The following is a 17,721-nucleotide window of genomic DNA, read 5'->3' on the forward strand; positions in this document are numbered from 1 at the left end:
ATTTTTTTTAACTGCTGTGTCCAAGAGCATAGTTTATGCATCCAAATACAATTTCACAAAATAGTCATATGCAGGAAATGAGAGGAGAAAAAAATCTGAATAAAAAGAATACTGGTTGCAAAAGAGATCTCTGGAATGCAGCATGCTCATAATGATGGCTATATGACAATTGCAGTCACTATAAAACGTTACAGCAGAAAACTGTTATTTTCAAAAAAAGCAAAATGCAGTGATTCAATATTGTGAAATATAGGAGTTGCTTTTAGCAGAGGGATAATTTTCTGCCTCTTCAGATCCTGGTGGTACAGTACAGGAAGAAAGCGTGTATGGATGCCATGCAACAGATGTCAGTGCAAACATACTGAGATGAGAGAGAGAGCCAGTTTAATTAATCCTAGAAAAATTCCCTGAACAGATACTTAATATAGTTTTGTTCTGTATATCTTTATCAATGTATGAAAAGGTATGATAATAATTTGGATAAAGTAGGCTTACCATCTTGAAAGTAGTGTGAAACTGCTATCATTTCATTCAGTTTAATTAACCCAATGCTATAACAGGGCAGTTGAGTTTGCTAGAACAGAAACAGTGGAGTCAGACAGGTCTAAGTTCTACTCTTGAATGGAGAACATTGTTCATTGCTTGATTCTTCAGTATTTCAATCAGTAGAGCACAATAGGGTTGTTGTGAGAATTAGAAGATAAAATATGTTTAAAAAATGGTTAATATATTGCCTCCCACATAACAGAACTCAAGGAAATTGAGAAATTATAATCAGTTGTATTTTTATTGGCTTCCCTATCATTTCCCTTTTTTTCTTTATTGCTTTCATTTTTTTTTTAAGTAAGAGGATATTTTGCTTACAAATTATCAGTTGCCTTTATTTATGGCAGGTAAAACATTAAATCTCCTTTGGAAGAATGCAAGTTGAGAAATATTTATTAGTTATGCCAATGCATTCTGCAGAAAGAATGCAACTGTGTATTTCTTTGGCCTAACAGAGATTGTTTCTCTCTCCCTGTGACCTTTGCAGGGTTCAGATCTGAAATCAGTGAGAAAAAAGTGAACAAATTTGTAGTAGAATTAGGGGACCCTCTGTGAAAAAAACACTCTTGACACTTTTATTTAGAAGAATAAGCTTCAACAAAAAAGCTGTAACTTTGCAAAATTCCTCTACGTAAATATAAGGAAAGAATGGTTGATTTGAATCACAAAAAGAGTGGTCTCCTTTTCTTTCCAGCAATGATAGCAGCAATTGCAATCGGGAACGGGAAAGTTTTTTGGTTCTTCCTTGATGAGGCCTTTGTGTCCATGACTTGCCTCTTGCACTGAGTTATTATGTGGGCATCCAGAACTACCCAGGTATGTAGAGGGAAAGGGGGAGAGAAATAAGAAGGAATTTTTAAATGGTGTATTGGAGGATTATATTTATACTGACAAATATTAAAAGAGATGTGATCTTATCTTGAATCCTCATAGTAAATCAGAATATATACAGACATATACAAACAAACACATACATATTTCATGCATATTCATATGTAAGTTATTACATCATGATTATTGTTACTACTATTATACCTGTAATTTTGGGGCACAAATCCAGATATTATGGAGTATGCCAAAATGAAATAGATGTATCCTAAACACAAGGAGTTTATGGTGAATTAGGTGAAATAGACATGTTTACAAATGACTTAGTATTTGTGTTGAAGCTATTGAGTGAGGCTGTGGAAAATACCAGTATTTCTACAAACGGAAATAGTTGAGAAGGCATTCTTAGTGGGCAGTATAGGATTATCTTAGGCAGAATGGGAAGTTCAAAAATCAGCTGGGATCATGGTGGACAGGAGGCAGGACTAGATTGCAGCTCTCACTTGGATGGACAGAGCAGTGTGTGGAGGCTTGCACTGTGAACTTTTTGCTCCAGAATGACTCAGGAATAAGTCAGGAAAGCTGAGAGGACCCAGAGACGCTCTGAAGGAAGCAGATTGCTCCTGCAGGACCTGGGAGACACCCCAAATACTGGGTCCTTGGGGAAGGCTGCCAGAGTCACTGGGAAAAGGCCACAGGGAGAAGGGACCTTTGTAACAATTTGAATTGATCAAGAAGTCTCCTGGTCAGAACTTGGGGGAGGGTGTGAATTGGGTGTGCAGACTCCACAGGCAGGGGAGGTACAAAAGCCCTATTGTTTTTGCAGCTGGGAGGCAGGTAGCCTGGGGCAAGTTTTCAGCCCTGCCTGCCTACTGCCTGGAAATAGACTCAATGCTGTTGATGGGGTGCACAGTGGGAGTGAGACTGGACTTTTGGATTGCATGTGAACCGGGTGAGGCCTGTGACTGCCGGCTTTCCCTCACTTCCCTGACAATCTGCATGACACAGTAAAGGCAGCCATAATCCTCCTAGGAACATAACTCTATTGACCCAGAAACCACACTCGTATCCCCCACAGCAGCCACAGCAAGACCTGCCCAAGGAGAGTCTGAGCTCAGACATGCCTAGCCCTACCCCCACCTAATGGTCCATTCCTACCCACCCTGGTAGCTGAAGGCAAAGGACATATACTGTTGGGAGTTTTAGGGCCCTGCCCACCACCTGATCCTCTCTGTACTTCCACAGCTGATATGCTCTTGAAAGTGCCACCTCCTAGAAGGAGGCTAACCAGTAAAAAAATAGTGCATTAAACAACAAAAGCTAAGAACCCTCATGGAGTCCATTTCACCCTCTTGCCAGTTCCACTGGAGCAGGTGCTGATATCCATGGCTGAGAGACCCACAGACAGTTTACATCACAGGACTCTGCAGACAACTCCCAGTACCAGCCTATAGCCTGATAGACTTGCTGGGTGGCTAGATCCAGGAAAGAGATAACAATCACCATAGCTTGGCTCTCAGGAAGCTACATCCCTAGGAAAAGGGAGAGAGTACTACATCAAGGGAACACCCTGCGGGACAAAAAAATCTGAACAACAGCCTTGAGCACTAGACCTTCCTTCTGACAGAGACTACCGCAATGGGAAGGAACCAGAAAACCAACTCTGTTAATATAACCGAACAAGGTTCTTTAATGCCCCCAGAAAATCACACCAACTCACCAGCAATGGATCCAAACCAAAAAGAAATCCCTGATTTACCTGAAAAAGAATTCAGAAGGTCAGTTATTAAGCTCATCAGGGAGGCATCAGAGAAAGGCAAGCCCAATTTAAGGAAGTCAAAAAAATGACCAAAGAAATGAGGGGAGAAATTTTCAATGAAATAAATAGCATAAATAAACAATTTAAAAACTTCAGGAAACAATGGACACACTTATAGAAATGCAAAACGTCTGGTAAGTCTCAGCAATAGAAAAAAATAAGCAGAAGAAAGAAATTCAGAGCTCGAAGACAAGGTTTTCAAATTAACCCAATTCAACAAAGACAAAGATAAGAGAACAAAAAAAATGAACAAAGCCTCCAAGAAGTCTGGGATTATGTTAAACGACCATACCTAAGAATAATTTGTGTTCCTGAGGAAGAAGAGAAATCTAAAAGTTTGGAAAACATATTTGGGGGAATAATCGAGAAAAACTTCCTCAGCCTTGCTAGAGACCTAGACAGAAGCTCAAAGAACCCCTGGGAAATTCATTGCAAAAAGAAAATCACCTAGGCACATAGTCTTCAGGTTATCTAAAGTTCAGACAAAGGGAAGACTCTTAAGAGCTGTGAGGCAAAAGCACCAGGTAACCTATAGAGGAAACCTATCAGATTAACAGCAGATTTCTCAGCAGAAACCCTGCAAGCTAGAAGGGATTGGAGCCCTATCTTCAGCCTCTTTAAACAAAAGAATTATTGCCAAGAATTTTGTATCCAGTGAAACTAAGCTGGATAAAGGAAGGAAAGATACAGTCTTTTTTAGACAAACAAATGCTGAGAGAATTCACCACTACCAAGCCAACACTACAAGCACTGCTAAAAGGAGCTCTAAATCTTGAAACAAATTCTGGAAACGTGTCAGAACAGAACCTCTTTAAAGAATAAATCTCACAGGACCTATAAAACAAAAATACAATTAAAAAAAAAGAAAGGTATACAGGCAACAAATAGCATGATGAATGGAATGATCTCAATACTAACATTGAATGTAAATGGCCTAAATGCTCCACTTAGAAGATACTGAATTGCAGAATGGATAAGAATTCACCAACCAACTATCTGCTGTCTTCAAGAGACTCACCTATCACATAAGGACTTACAGAAACTTAAGGTAATGGGGTGGAAAAAGACATTCAATGCAAATGAACACCAAAAGCAAACAGGAGTAGCTATTCTTATATCAGACAAAACTTTAAAGCAACAGCAGTTTTAAAAAAGAAAAACAGGGACATCATATAATGATAAAAGGACTTGTACAACAGGAAAATATCACAATCCTAAATATATATGCAACTAACACTGGAGCTACCAAATTTATAAAATAATTACTAATAGACCTAAGAATTGAGATAGACAGCAACATAATAATAGTGAGGGACTTCAATACTCTACTGACGGCACTAGACAGGTCACCAAGACAGCAAGTCAACAAAGAAACAATGGATTTAAACTATACCCTGGGCCAGCTGTGGTGGCTCATGCCTGTAATCCCAGCACTTTGGAAAGCAGAGGCAAGTGGATCACCTGAGGTCAGGAGTTCAAGACCAGCCTGGCTAACATGGTGAAACCCCATCACTACTAAAAATGCAAAAATTAGTGGGATGTGGTGGCAGGCACCTGTAATCCTGGCTACTCAGGAAGCTGAGGCAGGAGAATGGCTTGAACCTGGGAGGCAGAGATTGCAGTGAGCTGAGGTTGCACCACTGCACTCCAGCATGAGCAACAGAGTGAGACTCTATCTCGAAACAAACAGACAAACACCTATACCCTGGAACAAATGGATTTAACAGATATTGATATTTACAGAACATTCTACCTAACAACTGCAGAATATACATTTTATTTATCAGTGAAAGGAACTTTCTCCAAGATAGATAATATGATAGGCTACAAAACAAGCCTCAATAAATTTAAGAATATTGAAATTATATCAAGCATTGTCTCAGACCACAGTGGAATAAAATTGGAAATCAACTCCAAAAGGAACCTTCAATACCATGCAAATACATGGACATTAAATAAACTGCTCCTCAGTGATCATTGAGTCAAAAATGAAATCATGATGGACATTAAAAATTTTTTCAAACTGAAGGACAATAGTTACACAACCTATCAAAACCTCTGGGATACAGTAAAGATGATGCAAAAAGGAAAGTTCATAGCCCTAAAGTCCTATGTCAAAAAGTCTGGAAGAGCACAAACAAACAATCTAAGGTCACATCTCAAGGAACTAGAGGAACAAGAAGAAATGAGACCCAAATCCAGCAGAAGAAAAGAAATAACTAACACCACAGCAGAACTAAATGAAATTGAAACAAACAAAAAAAGATAAATGAAACAAAAAGCTGATTTTTTGAGAGGATAAATAAAATTGATAGACCATTAGCAAGATTAACCAAGAGGAGAGAAAATCCAAATAAGCTCAATTAGAAACAAAATAGGAGATATTACATCTGACACCACAGAAATACAAAGGATCATTGAAGGTTACTATGAACACATTTACACACATAAACTAGAAAGCTTAGAGGAGATGGATAAATTCCTGGAAAGATACAACCCTCCTAGCTTAAATCAGGAAGAATTAGATACCCTGAACAGACCAATAACAAGCAGCGAGATTGAAATGGTAATAAAATATTACCAACAACAAAAAAGTCCAGGACCAGAAGAATTCACAGCAGAATTCTACCAGACATTCAAAGAATTGCTACCATTCCTATTGACACTATTCCACAAGATAGAGAAAGAGGCAATCCTCCCTAAATCATTCTGTGAAGCCAGTATCACCCTAATACCAAAACCAGGAAGAACATAAACAAAAAAGAAAACTACAGACCAATATCCCTGATGAACCTAGATGCAAAAATTCTTAATACCAGCTAACCAAATCTAACAACATATCAAAAAGATAATCCACTATGATCAAGTGGGTTTCATACCAGGGATGCAGGGATGGTATAACATACACAAGTCAATAAATGTAATAAACCACATAAATAGAATTAAAAACAAAAATTACATGATAATCTCAATAGATGCAGAAAAAGCATTCAACAAAATCCAGCATTCCTTTAAAACTCTCAGCAAAATTGGCATACAAGGGACATACCTCAATGTAATAAAAGTCATCTATGACAGACCCACAGCCAACATTATACTGAATGGGGAAAAGGTGAAAGCATTCCCTCTGAGAACTGGAACAAGACAAAGATGCCCACTCTGACCAGTTCTCTTCAACATAGTACTGGAAGTTCTAGCCAGAGGAATCAGACAAGAGAAAGAAAGAAAGGGCATCCAAATTGGTAAAGAGGAAGTCAAATTATTGCTGTTTGCTGATGGTATGATTGTTTACCTAGAAAGGTCTAAAGACTCCTCCAGAAAGCTCCTAGAACTGATAAAATAATTCAGCAAAGTTACCTGATACAAAATTAATGTACACAGATCAGTAGCTCTTCTATACACCAACAGCGACCAAACTGAGAATCAAATCAAGAACTCAACCCTGTTTACAATAGCTGCAAAAAATACAAAATAAAATAAAATATTTAGGAATATATCTAACCAAGGAAGTAAAAGACCTCTACAAGGAAAACTACAAAACACTGCTGAAGGAAATCATAGACAACACAAATGGAAACACATTCCATGCACATAGATGGGCAAAATCAATATTGTGAAAATGACAATAGTGCCAAAAATAATCTACAAATTCAGTGCAATTCCCATCAAAATACCACCATAATTCTTCACGGAACTAGAAAAAAAATCCTAAAATTCATATGGAACAAAAAAGGAGCTCGCATTGCCAAAGCAAGACTAAGCAAAAAGAACAAATCTGGAGGCATCACATTATCTGGTTTCAAACTATACTATAAGGCCATAGTCATCAAAACAGCATGGTTCTGGTATAAAAATAGGCACATAGACTAATGGAACAGAATGGAGAACCCAGAAATAAAGCCAAATACTTATAGCCAACTGACCTTCAACAAAGCAAACAAAAACGTAAAGTGGGGAAAGGACGCCCTATTCAACAAATGGTGCTGTGATAATTAGCTAGCCACATGTAGAAGAATGAAACTGGATCCTACTCTCTCTCCATATGCAAAAATTAACTCAAGATGGATGAAGGACTGAAACTACAAAAATTCTAGAAGATAACATTGGAAAAACCCTTTTGCACATTGGCTTGGGCAAGAATTTCATGACCAAGAACTCAAAACCAAATGCAATGGAAACAAAGATAAATATCTATCACTTATTTAAAGAGCTCTTGCACGACAAAAGGAACAGTCAGCAGAGTAAACAGACAATCCACAGAGTGGGAGAAAATCTTCACATTCTATATATCTGACATTCTATATATCCAGAATCTACAATGAACTCAAACAAATTGGCAAGAAAAAAACAGTCTCATCAAAAGTGGGCTAAGGACATGAATAGACAATTCTCAAAAGAGGATATACAAAGGCCAATAAACATATGAAAAAATGCTTAACATCACTAGTGATCAGGGAAATGCAAATCAAAACCACAATGCGCTGCAAGAATGGCCATAATAAAAAGATAATAAAATAATAGATGTTGGCGTGGATGCAGTGAACAGGGAACACTTCTGTACTGCTGGTGGGAATGTAAACTAGTACAACCACTATGGAAAACAGTGTGGAGATTTTTTTTTAAAGAACTGAAAGTAAAACTACCATTTGATCCAGCCATTCCACTATTGGGTATCTATCCAGAGGAAAAGAAATCATTATATGAAAAAGATACTTGTGCATGCATGTTTATAGCAGCACAATTCGTAATTTTAAAAACGTGGAACCAACCCAAATGCTCATCAATGAATGAGTGGATAAATAAATTGTGGTATATATATACAATGAAATACTACTCAGCCATAAAAGGGAATTAATTAATGGCATTCACGGCGACCTGGATAAGATTGGACACTATTATTCTAAGTGAAGTTTCAGGAATGGAAAACCAAACATTGTATGTTCTCACTCATAAGTGGTAGCTAAGCTATGAAAATGCAAAGGCATAAGAATAACACAATGGACTTTGGGGACTCAGGGGGAAAGGGTGGGAGAGGGGTGAAGGCTAAAAGACTACAAATTGTGTGCAGTGTATACTGCTTAGGTGATGGGTGCACCAAAATCTCATAATCAGCACTAAGGAACTTACTCATGTAACCAAACACCACCTTTTCCCCAATAACCTATGGGAAAAAAATTTTTAAATCAATTGGGAGAACAGTGAAGAGTTGGATGTGGCTGGTGCATGGGTGAATTCATCAGGGGTTAAGGCTGGCGAGATAATCTGTAGCCAGATCTTAGAGGGCTTTGGGCACTTGGGATTTTACTGTTGATGATAGTGTGTGAGCTGGGAGTGCCATGATCTGAACTGTGCCTTAGGACAGTTATTCTGTCAGTCAATGTGCAAGGACTGAAGAATAAGGGCAGGGGAGTGATTGACAGGAGTTTTAGCAGCCTTCAGTCTATGATTTGCCCAGTTCACATGTCTCCATAGTGCTTTAAAAAACTAGAACTCAAAATGTGTCTCTTTAGTATATAAAAGTATCATTATGTCCTGGGCTGTGCTAGAGTTTTAGGGCCTAGAATTCGATGACCTTGTTTAAACGTCAATGGGTATAGGGGAGGATACTGCTGGAGGGGAGTGTATAACTTCCTATTTCCCAGACATCATTTCAAGCTTATGGGTAAGGACTATGGATCATTTAGTTTGCAGGTCTCCTAACAAAGGAAACTGCTATCCAGAAATTAAATGAAGATATAAAAGCAGCTTTCTAATTTTCACACTTGGCAGCCTAGCTATAGAATATGACTGATTTGATTTAAAATATTTAATTCATTTAATATAAAATCCATTGTGGTTAGAAATACAAAAAGAGGGGTTCTAGTGGAAGATTGAGATTTTAAGTACTACACTAAGAGCAGAAATTTAACTACCTTTCTGTTTTCCAATAAAATGAAACTTTTAATCCCATAATAATGGTTTTTCTGTTCATTTAACTTTAAATATTTTCCATGCCATGGATATGGATCACTTTTATATCCCTTTGGGTTCCCAGACCTCTTACAGAGGCCAGAAATAAGCAGATGATAAAGGTTAGTTTTCAATGCCTTTTGAGTGGAATCTAAAGCGTCTCCTCCCAATATTATGGAGAGATTTGAGGGAATACTTTTCCTGTATCATCCACCAATGGTCATGATCACTCAGGGCCTCTAGGCCTTATCCCAGTCACTACATCATATAGTATGATAAAAACAACAGCTATACAGAAAAACTGCTCTTGATGACTGAAGTCATGGCCACCAACGACACTGAATTTCCTTCAAGGTATAGGATGCAGTTAAAAGCCCCATTCACTGGTCATTACATCCTTATGACATGTTTTGTGTGTGTGTGTGTGTGTGTGTGTGTGTGTGTGTGTGTGTGTGGTGTGTGTAATCATATAGTATTAAATCCATTAAGTACTGTCAAAAGCTTAGACATATAAGCTTTCAAATGTTCATTACTAATGTATTAGTTAGCTACTGCTAAGTAATGAATTACCCTACCACTTAGAAGTTTCTAACAGCAGTAATTTATTATTGATCACAAGTCATATGGTCAGCTCGGTGGTTTTACAGATTTGAGCTGGGCATGGCAGGGCTCTCTTATGGGTCTGTAGTAAACTGTGAGTTTGCTAGTTGGCTTTAGTGATCTTACTTAGCTGGGTTCTCTCACATGTATGGGGCCTCAGCCTGAGACATCTGTGCCAACTTGACCCTCCCACACAATGTCATATTCTAAGAAGCTAGGTCAAGAAAATTCTAATGGCAAAGGTAGAGGAGGAAAAGAGCATAGAAGCCCACAAGATCTCTTTAGGCTTAGCTTTGGAAAAGATACATTATTCTTTCTGCACATTCTACTAGGCAAAGCAATTTAAAGGATAATCCACACTCAAGGAGAAAATAGACCACCCTTCAGGATGGGAGGAGTTGCAAAAGCACATTGCAAAGGATGTGCATACAGGACAGGCGGAAGGAATTGGTGTCATTCCTGCAATTAATCTACCACATCTAATCAAGAAAATTATGAAATCAAAGATAACAAATGTTTATAAATGTCTACCAATCAAGTATCCTGTCCACTGTAGTACTACTACATTAAATATTAATAAAGCTCTCTTTGCATTTGAAACTATCTCATGAGTTAGATATTTTCACAGTACAAAAATTTCTGGAAATAGATGATGCTTGTGAATTATAGTGTGGTTGCCATGAGAATATATCTTGTAAACTCTCATCTACAGTCAGTGTAGTTAACCAAAGCCTTCAGCTGCTGTGATTTGAAAGCATTTGCATTGAAGCCATGGATTGCTCCAAATCAATGACTGAGCAAGACAGACAGAGAAAAGCAAACCTGTTTCTGGGAGATATGGCTGACTTTGTCTCAGGAACTCCCTAATAGCTTTGCCAAAATTTCCTTCCTCCATATCATAGTCTAGGAGGTTTCCACCCCCTTTCTCTCCCTCTCTTTTTCAGAGTCAGCCTTGCATCATGACCTGATGCCTCTCACCCTCTCCAGGTGACTGCTGCCTACCTCCCTTTTTCAGAGTCAGCCTTGCATCATGACCTGATGCCTCTCACCCTCTCCAGGTGACTGCTGCCTCCCTCCCTTTTTCATTTTTCTTCACACAGGTGTTTTCCCTAATAAATTCCTTGCCCACTTAATCCTGTCTTGACATCCACAATGGACTTCTCAGAGAACTTTCACTAAGGCACACCATAAATTCAGAAAATTGTAGTAAAGACTCGCAAGTTTTCTTCACAGGTCTGTGGAGAGATAGACATAGACATACCCATCTCTGTATGTGTCTCTGTCATTATATCTATCTCCTTATATCTATCTGTATCTGGAATGGTAGGGTGTGTGAAATATACGTATGTTTCTTGTTCTGTTGGGTGTAATTTCTAAAAAAGAGTTATTAACACCTGTAAAGTCTGTATTATTCAGTTTTCACACTGCTATAAAAAACTACCTGAAACTAGGTAATTTATAAAGAAAACAGGTTTAATTGACTCACAGTTCCACATGGCTGGCTGGGGAGGCCTCAGGAAACTTACAGTCATGGAGGAAAGTGAGAGAGAAGGAAGGCACGTCTTACATGACAGCAGGAGGAGAGAGAGAGGTGTAGGGGGAAACGCCAAACACTTTTAAAGCATCAGATCCCATGAGAACTCACTATCAGGAGAAGGGCATGGGGGAAACTAGCCCCATGATCCAATCATCTCCCAGCAGATCCCTCCCTTGACATGTGGGGATTACAATTTGAGATGAGATTAGGGTGGGGACACAGAGCCAAACCATATCAAGATCTTAAAATGATCTGACTGTGCACAATGGGAAGAATGAAGTAATGTCATTTACTAAATTCCTACTGTTTTCTTGACTCACTTCTATATGTAAAATATCCAGAAACTAGTATATGCCTATTTTTCTTTGTTATAATGATTTTCCAACATTTTAGAACAGTTAGGCTTTTCTTTTTCCTGTGATTTGTACACTGGTGCTTCTGTTATTGTTATTGTCTTTCTGCTGACTATCACTCATGTACTGATGTGACAGCTGTGTAATTCACCAAACTGTTGGCAGGCCTTAACAATCCAATAAAGCAATACTGCCTAATTGGTCCTGGTCATAAAACCTTTAGGGAGACTGTTGGAAAACTAGCTGTGATTGACTGGAATGAGAGAAAATGTTCAACCTGTTGAACATTGGCTAAGGCTATTTGTAATAATAAATGCATGTGTGTGTATAAATTTGAATGTATAAATGTGTGTATATCCAGACACATATTTATATTATGTACACATGCCTCTGTTAAATTCTGAATATTTCAACAACTTTTTGTTAACACAGGGTCCTTGACTGGGTAATAGTGGTCCTCTTTAGACATTGCTAATTTCATTGCACAAAGAGAATGAAAGTTGTCTCTATGTGAAAAGTGGAAAAAAAAGATCCTGAGAGTTCTTTAAATTGGAATGTTTTGGTAAAAGTTTTATTGAGATATAATTTATATACCAGGCAATTCACTCATTTAAAGTGTTCAGTTTTATGGCTCTTAATACATTTATAGAGTTGTGCATCCATTACAATTAATTTTAGAACATTTTTATCAGCTCAAAGAGAAACACCAAATCCATTAGCTGTCACCCCTTTTCCCTATACATCCATCCCCATAGCATTAAGTGACCACTAATCTACTATGGATCTACTTATTCTGAACGTTTCATACAAGTGAAATCATTACAGTATTTACAATATTTATTCCATTGCAATTGGCTTCTTCACTTAACATAATGTTTTCAAGATTCATCCTGTTGTAGCATGTATCAATACTTTCTTATTATCGCTGAATGATATTTCATTGTATGGATATACCACATTTCATTTATCCTTTCATTGACTGATGAACATTTGTGTTATTTCTACTTTTTGTCTATTATGAATAATGCTGCCCTGAATATTCATGTATAATTTTTTGTGTGCAGACAGAGCTTTTCATTTTCTTAGGTATATACTCAGAGTGGAATTCCTGAATCAGGTTGTAACTCTATGTTTAACTCTTACAGAAAATGCTGGACTATTTTGTAAAGTGGCTGCACTGTTTTACATTCCTACTATCAGTGTGTGAGGTTCCAGTTTCTCCACATTCATATTAACACTTTTATTATCTTTTTCATTCTATTAATCTTAGTGAGTGTAAAGTGGTATCTTATGGTGCTTTTGATTTGCATTTCCCCGATGAAAAATACCTTACTCTGTTTAGGCTACTGTAACAAAATGCTACAGGATGGGTAATTTATAATCAACAGAAACTTATTTCTCATAGTTCTGGAGTCTGGGAATTCCAATATCAAGGTTCTGGCAGATTTGATGTGTGGTAAGAGCTTGCTGTCTGCTTCCAAGATGCATCCTCACCTGGTAGAAGGAGGAAAAGGGCCAAAAAGGCTTCCTCACGTCCTTTTATAAGGCCACTTACCTCATTCATGAAGACAGTGTCCTCATGATCTAACCACCTTCTAAAGGCCTCGTTTTCTGATATGGTTTGGCTGTGTCCCCATCCAAATCTCATCTTGAATTTATTTCCCATAATTCCCATGTGTTGTGGGAGGGGCCCGGTAGGAGATAACCGAATCATGGGGGCAGCTTCCTCCATATTGTTCTCATGGTAGTGAATAAGTCTCACAAGATCTGATGGTTTTATAAGGGGCTTCCCCTTTCTCTTGGCTCTCATTCTCTCTTGCCTGACACCATATAAGACATGTCTTTCACTTTCTGCCATAATTGTGAGGCCTCCCCAGTATGTGGAACCGTAAGTTCATTAAACATCTTTTTCTTTATAAATTACCCAGTCTCGGATATGTCTTTATTAGCAGTGTGAGGACAGACTAATACACGTCCTAATATGATTGCATTGGAGATTAAGTTTCAACATGAAATTTGGAGAGACACTGCATTCAAACCAAAGCAGATAACAATGTTGAAGATTTTTTCATGTACTTATTAGCCATTTGCATATATTCTTTGGAGAAATATATTCAGATCCTTTGCCAATTTTAAAAATTGTATTATTTGACATTTTATCATTGAGTTTTAATTGTTCTTTTTATAGTGTAAACACATCACTTTCTTGATGATACTCTTTGAAGCACAAAGATTTTTAATATTGATGAGAATGAATTCATCTATTTTATGCTTATATTTTTGTTATGAGACTGCAGCTTTTCAGAGGACCAATCCACATATTTCATCCACATTGGAAATGGGTAGGTTTTCTCACACTTAGCAGTGCCATTATACATAGTAGCTCCCTGGCATGGTGTGTTAAGAACTCTGGAGACTATTCCAGACTTACTGGGAAGCAGAGTAATGTTTTTTCAAGGAAGAGGAACTGATTGTGTTATGTACCCTTTAGCTTATGTTCACATGAGTGTTGATTTGTAAATAATAATAATAATAAACTGGGTGTGGCGGCTAATATCTATAATTCTAGCACTTTGGGAGGCTATGGAGGGAGGATTGCTTGGGCCCAAAAGTTTGAGACCAGTCTAAGCAACATAGCAAGACCTCAATCGCTACAAAAAATGTTTTTAAAAAATCTGGGCATGGTGACACATGCCTGTGGTCCTAACTACTCAGGAGACTGAAGTGGAAGGATTGTTTGAGCCTGGAATTTCAAGGCTGCAATGAGCCATGATCATACCACTGCACTCCAGCCTGGGTCACAGACATTGTCTTAAAAATAAATAAATAAAAATAATTGTAAAATTAATAATTCTAAGTATAAATAATTAATAATATTTTCCCTGAATTGCCAAGAAGAAAAGTAATGGCATGTAGTTTGAACAGTTTTGATGAGGAGAAAAATGAATCTGGTGGACTTTCTTCCTTTATTTTTTCTTTTCAGTCCTGCCTTCTGCTTAATTGTATTTATTCATTTACTCAGAAAATATTTATAAGGATGTTCCAGACACCTATGATGTATTAAACAAGAAAAACTTGAGCCCACATGTAGCATACATTAATCAATGATTAATTTTTTTTTAATCTCCACCTCTCTTGCACTTTTGGCCTTCTGCCTTTCATTGTCCTTGACCCCTGGATGCTGAACAGTGCTTCTAGAATGAAGATCTTAAAGCTGCGTGGTCATACTCCCATGCATTGACCCAAACTTATTACTAGGCAAGAAGGCAAAACCTACCACTCCTGACCAGCATCTGATAAAGATAAAACAGAAGTTGAGTATGGTGAACAACAATGCCCCAAGGTATTTTCTCAGACTAAATGGAGTACAAGTAGAGAATCCAAATGCTAAGAGTTAGTTATCAGACAATATTTTCAACCCACCACAGACTCTGGTTTGTCGAAACCATGATTGCAGCTATTCTCAAACTCATTCTAACCTTGAAACAGAGCAAAAGAGACTAAGTATGGGCAAAAGATGAATGAGTGCTTTCTGAAGCTCTTTCCAGATTTATACAAGTTAATATCTGATAATTTTTTAAATGGAATTTTAAAATGACCAAATAAAAGTAAAATTGCCTCATGACAAATCTTATTTTTCAAAATCCTTTTTATAAACTTACAATCAATAAATACTAGTGTTTTCAAGAACTAAGATAACCTGTTTACGTTATGGGTTAAAACCATTTGTATTCAAATCAGAACATACATCTTGACTAGATCTATTTCTAAAAATATCTGATCTCATAAGACTGTGAGACATGACCTTATACAAGTAACCAAATCAAGTAATTTTAGAAATTTCTAACTCAGTCTGAAGTTTGACAATGAATATTGCATTTAAAGTTTTTCTATACTTAAAATATTCCAGACTTTAATTCATTACTCATTAATAAACCATTTCTTTTTAGCAATGGATTTCAGCACTATCTACATTTTACTAAATCATCAGATAGAAAGTAAAAATTCACCCAATTACCTGGAAACTTTCCTTCTTTCTTTTTTGAAACAGTCATTTTGATATATCACACACAGAGATTAACCATAGATTTTCCTTGGAATGAAAACATTTAGATTGTGATGATACTACCTTAGTAGCTCTTATAAAACTACACCAATTTTTTTATTTTTATTTTTTTCTTTCCACTGGAGATAATAAGATGAGACATAGCTGAACGTTTCATTTTAAATTGTCTGGGTAGCCACAAACTAATAGGCAGATACATGGATACTTGATAGCTTCTATTTGTAATTTACACTTTTACCTACAGGCAGAAGGCTGTACTAGAAAATTGGAGAAGGAAAAGAAGCATTTTTTTTTTCAGCTACTTTTATCATCAGACTAATAGAGAGCTTTTCCCCCTTGTAATGTACTTTCCAGTATTATATCTGATCCCTCCAGGATTCTGTTTGACATATGGAATTAAAAATAAGGTAATAACAAGCCAAGTGCTTGGGAAGATTATTTCTTTTCATTTCTTGCTATTTCATGAGAACATTGAGAATATGTTTTTGATCAAGAGCCAGAGTTATATTTCCTATATTTGTATATGTATCTGAGCCTAATAGCCCCTGAGTAGCTCCTTTGGCAAATTCATATGCATGCAGAAGTGCATGAGGCTTCAGAGGAAATGAACTCACTGTATCTATTTTTTAGAAAAGATGATAAAACACTATTAGAATTTGTCATCCTGGCTTGGATTTTCTTAGTTATTGTTGCAAGTAAAACTCAGCCTTCATCACAATTAAGCATACAATGTGAAGTACTTTTCTAACCTTTAATTGACCTAAACACAATTTTGTTGTTAGTGGTGATGGGCAAAAAAATGGGGAGGGCAATAGCCTAGGTTTTCAATGTCAAAAGGAATTTTCAGGAGTTTAAATTGGTGCCAGGTAAACCACAGAAAAATATTTCTAGTTCATTGAAAATTTTGGATTGATTTTTTTTTTTGGTTTGATGACTAGTTTATAAATTCCCGATAAACCTTTGTTTAATAAATGCTACTTGGTATCAAGTAAAAAACCAAAAAAGCTGTCGTTAGGATTCCAACACCTGGGTTCTAGATCTAGTTCAACCATGAATTAGCAAGTCAGGAATGTTTTCTGGGCCTGAGACTTCAAATCTATAAATTGAAGAGTGAGAAATAAAAGAAGTAAGATTAAGGGATCTGTCAAATTCCTCTAGCTGGAAATTTCTACATTAGCATACTTTTTTTTTTCTAAAATTGCCTTTATCATATTATTTCTTTCTTCTAGCTTCCTATATTTATTAGGATATTTCTGAGTTATGCTGAGATTGTTTTAAATTTTCATTCCAATGTATTAAATTTTACAAGAAAATTAATATAACAAATATAATTTTATTGTAAAGTATTATAACTCTAAATCACAACTATACTTCTCTTTTAAATTCTCTACCCTTAACGTGTCTTGGGGGTTCCTCTTTCTGCCAAGGACATTTGACTACGGATAAAACATTTTAAATTGATAAACCCTGACTAGAAAATGGAGAAGTGACCAGAGACATTCAGGTGGGTCACATTGTCAAAAAAAAGGAATCCATTTGTCCTGTCAATTGATGCCCCTTGGGCTTTTGCAAGACTGGGTTCAGAGTCAGGTGTGATACTATTGATATACTATCAGTTCCCCTCCTCTGTACCTCCACCCCCCCGCCGCCCCCCAGCAGAGCGGTGAGAGCAAGGCCATTGTGCAAAGGCAGATCTTTGGAAACGAAGAGAGAGGCTTGGATTATTTACCAAAATGACATTCTCAGCTTCTAAAACACTGACAGCTGGGTGATTTAGTTTCCCCTTTGGAATTGTTGCCTTCCCTCTCAATAGTCTCTCATCATTCTCCCCCAGCTTTCTCTCCCTAGCACAGATGGTAGTTCCAAAGATGTTCACCTAAGGAAAGAACCCTGGTGCTGTAAAAATAAACAAGACTGTTTCCCCTCTGGGTTTCTATCACTAATACAACCGTTCCCACTGTCTTGTCCTGTTTTTAAAAGGTGAAGAACAGTCAAGGGAATAGTGATGATAGAAAAAGTCAAT

General features: G+C 37.1%; 1 long non-coding RNA gene across 4 annotated transcripts in view, besides 1 other annotated feature; it reads left to right on the forward strand.

The window, feature by feature from the left end:
- Positions 1-17,721, forward strand: part of LOC124902439 (uncharacterized) — an 820,351-nt gene that overhangs the window by 593,601 nt on the left and 209,029 nt on the right. The gene's annotated exons all lie outside the window — the stretch shown is intronic.
- Positions 10,419-10,619: a silencer, noted in NCBI's record as "peak969 fragment used in MPRA reporter construct". NCBI's record gives its function as "represses an SCP1 promoter by STARR-seq MPRAs in K562 erythroleukemia cells {active_cell/tissue: K562}" and the evidence as "EXISTENCE:reporter gene assay evidence [ECO:0000049][PMID:32103011]".

This window comes from Homo sapiens, chromosome 10 (assembly GCF_000001405.40).
Source record: "Homo sapiens chromosome 10, GRCh38.p14 Primary Assembly".
NCBI classification, from domain to species: Eukaryota; Metazoa; Chordata; class Mammalia; order Primates; family Hominidae; genus Homo; species Homo sapiens.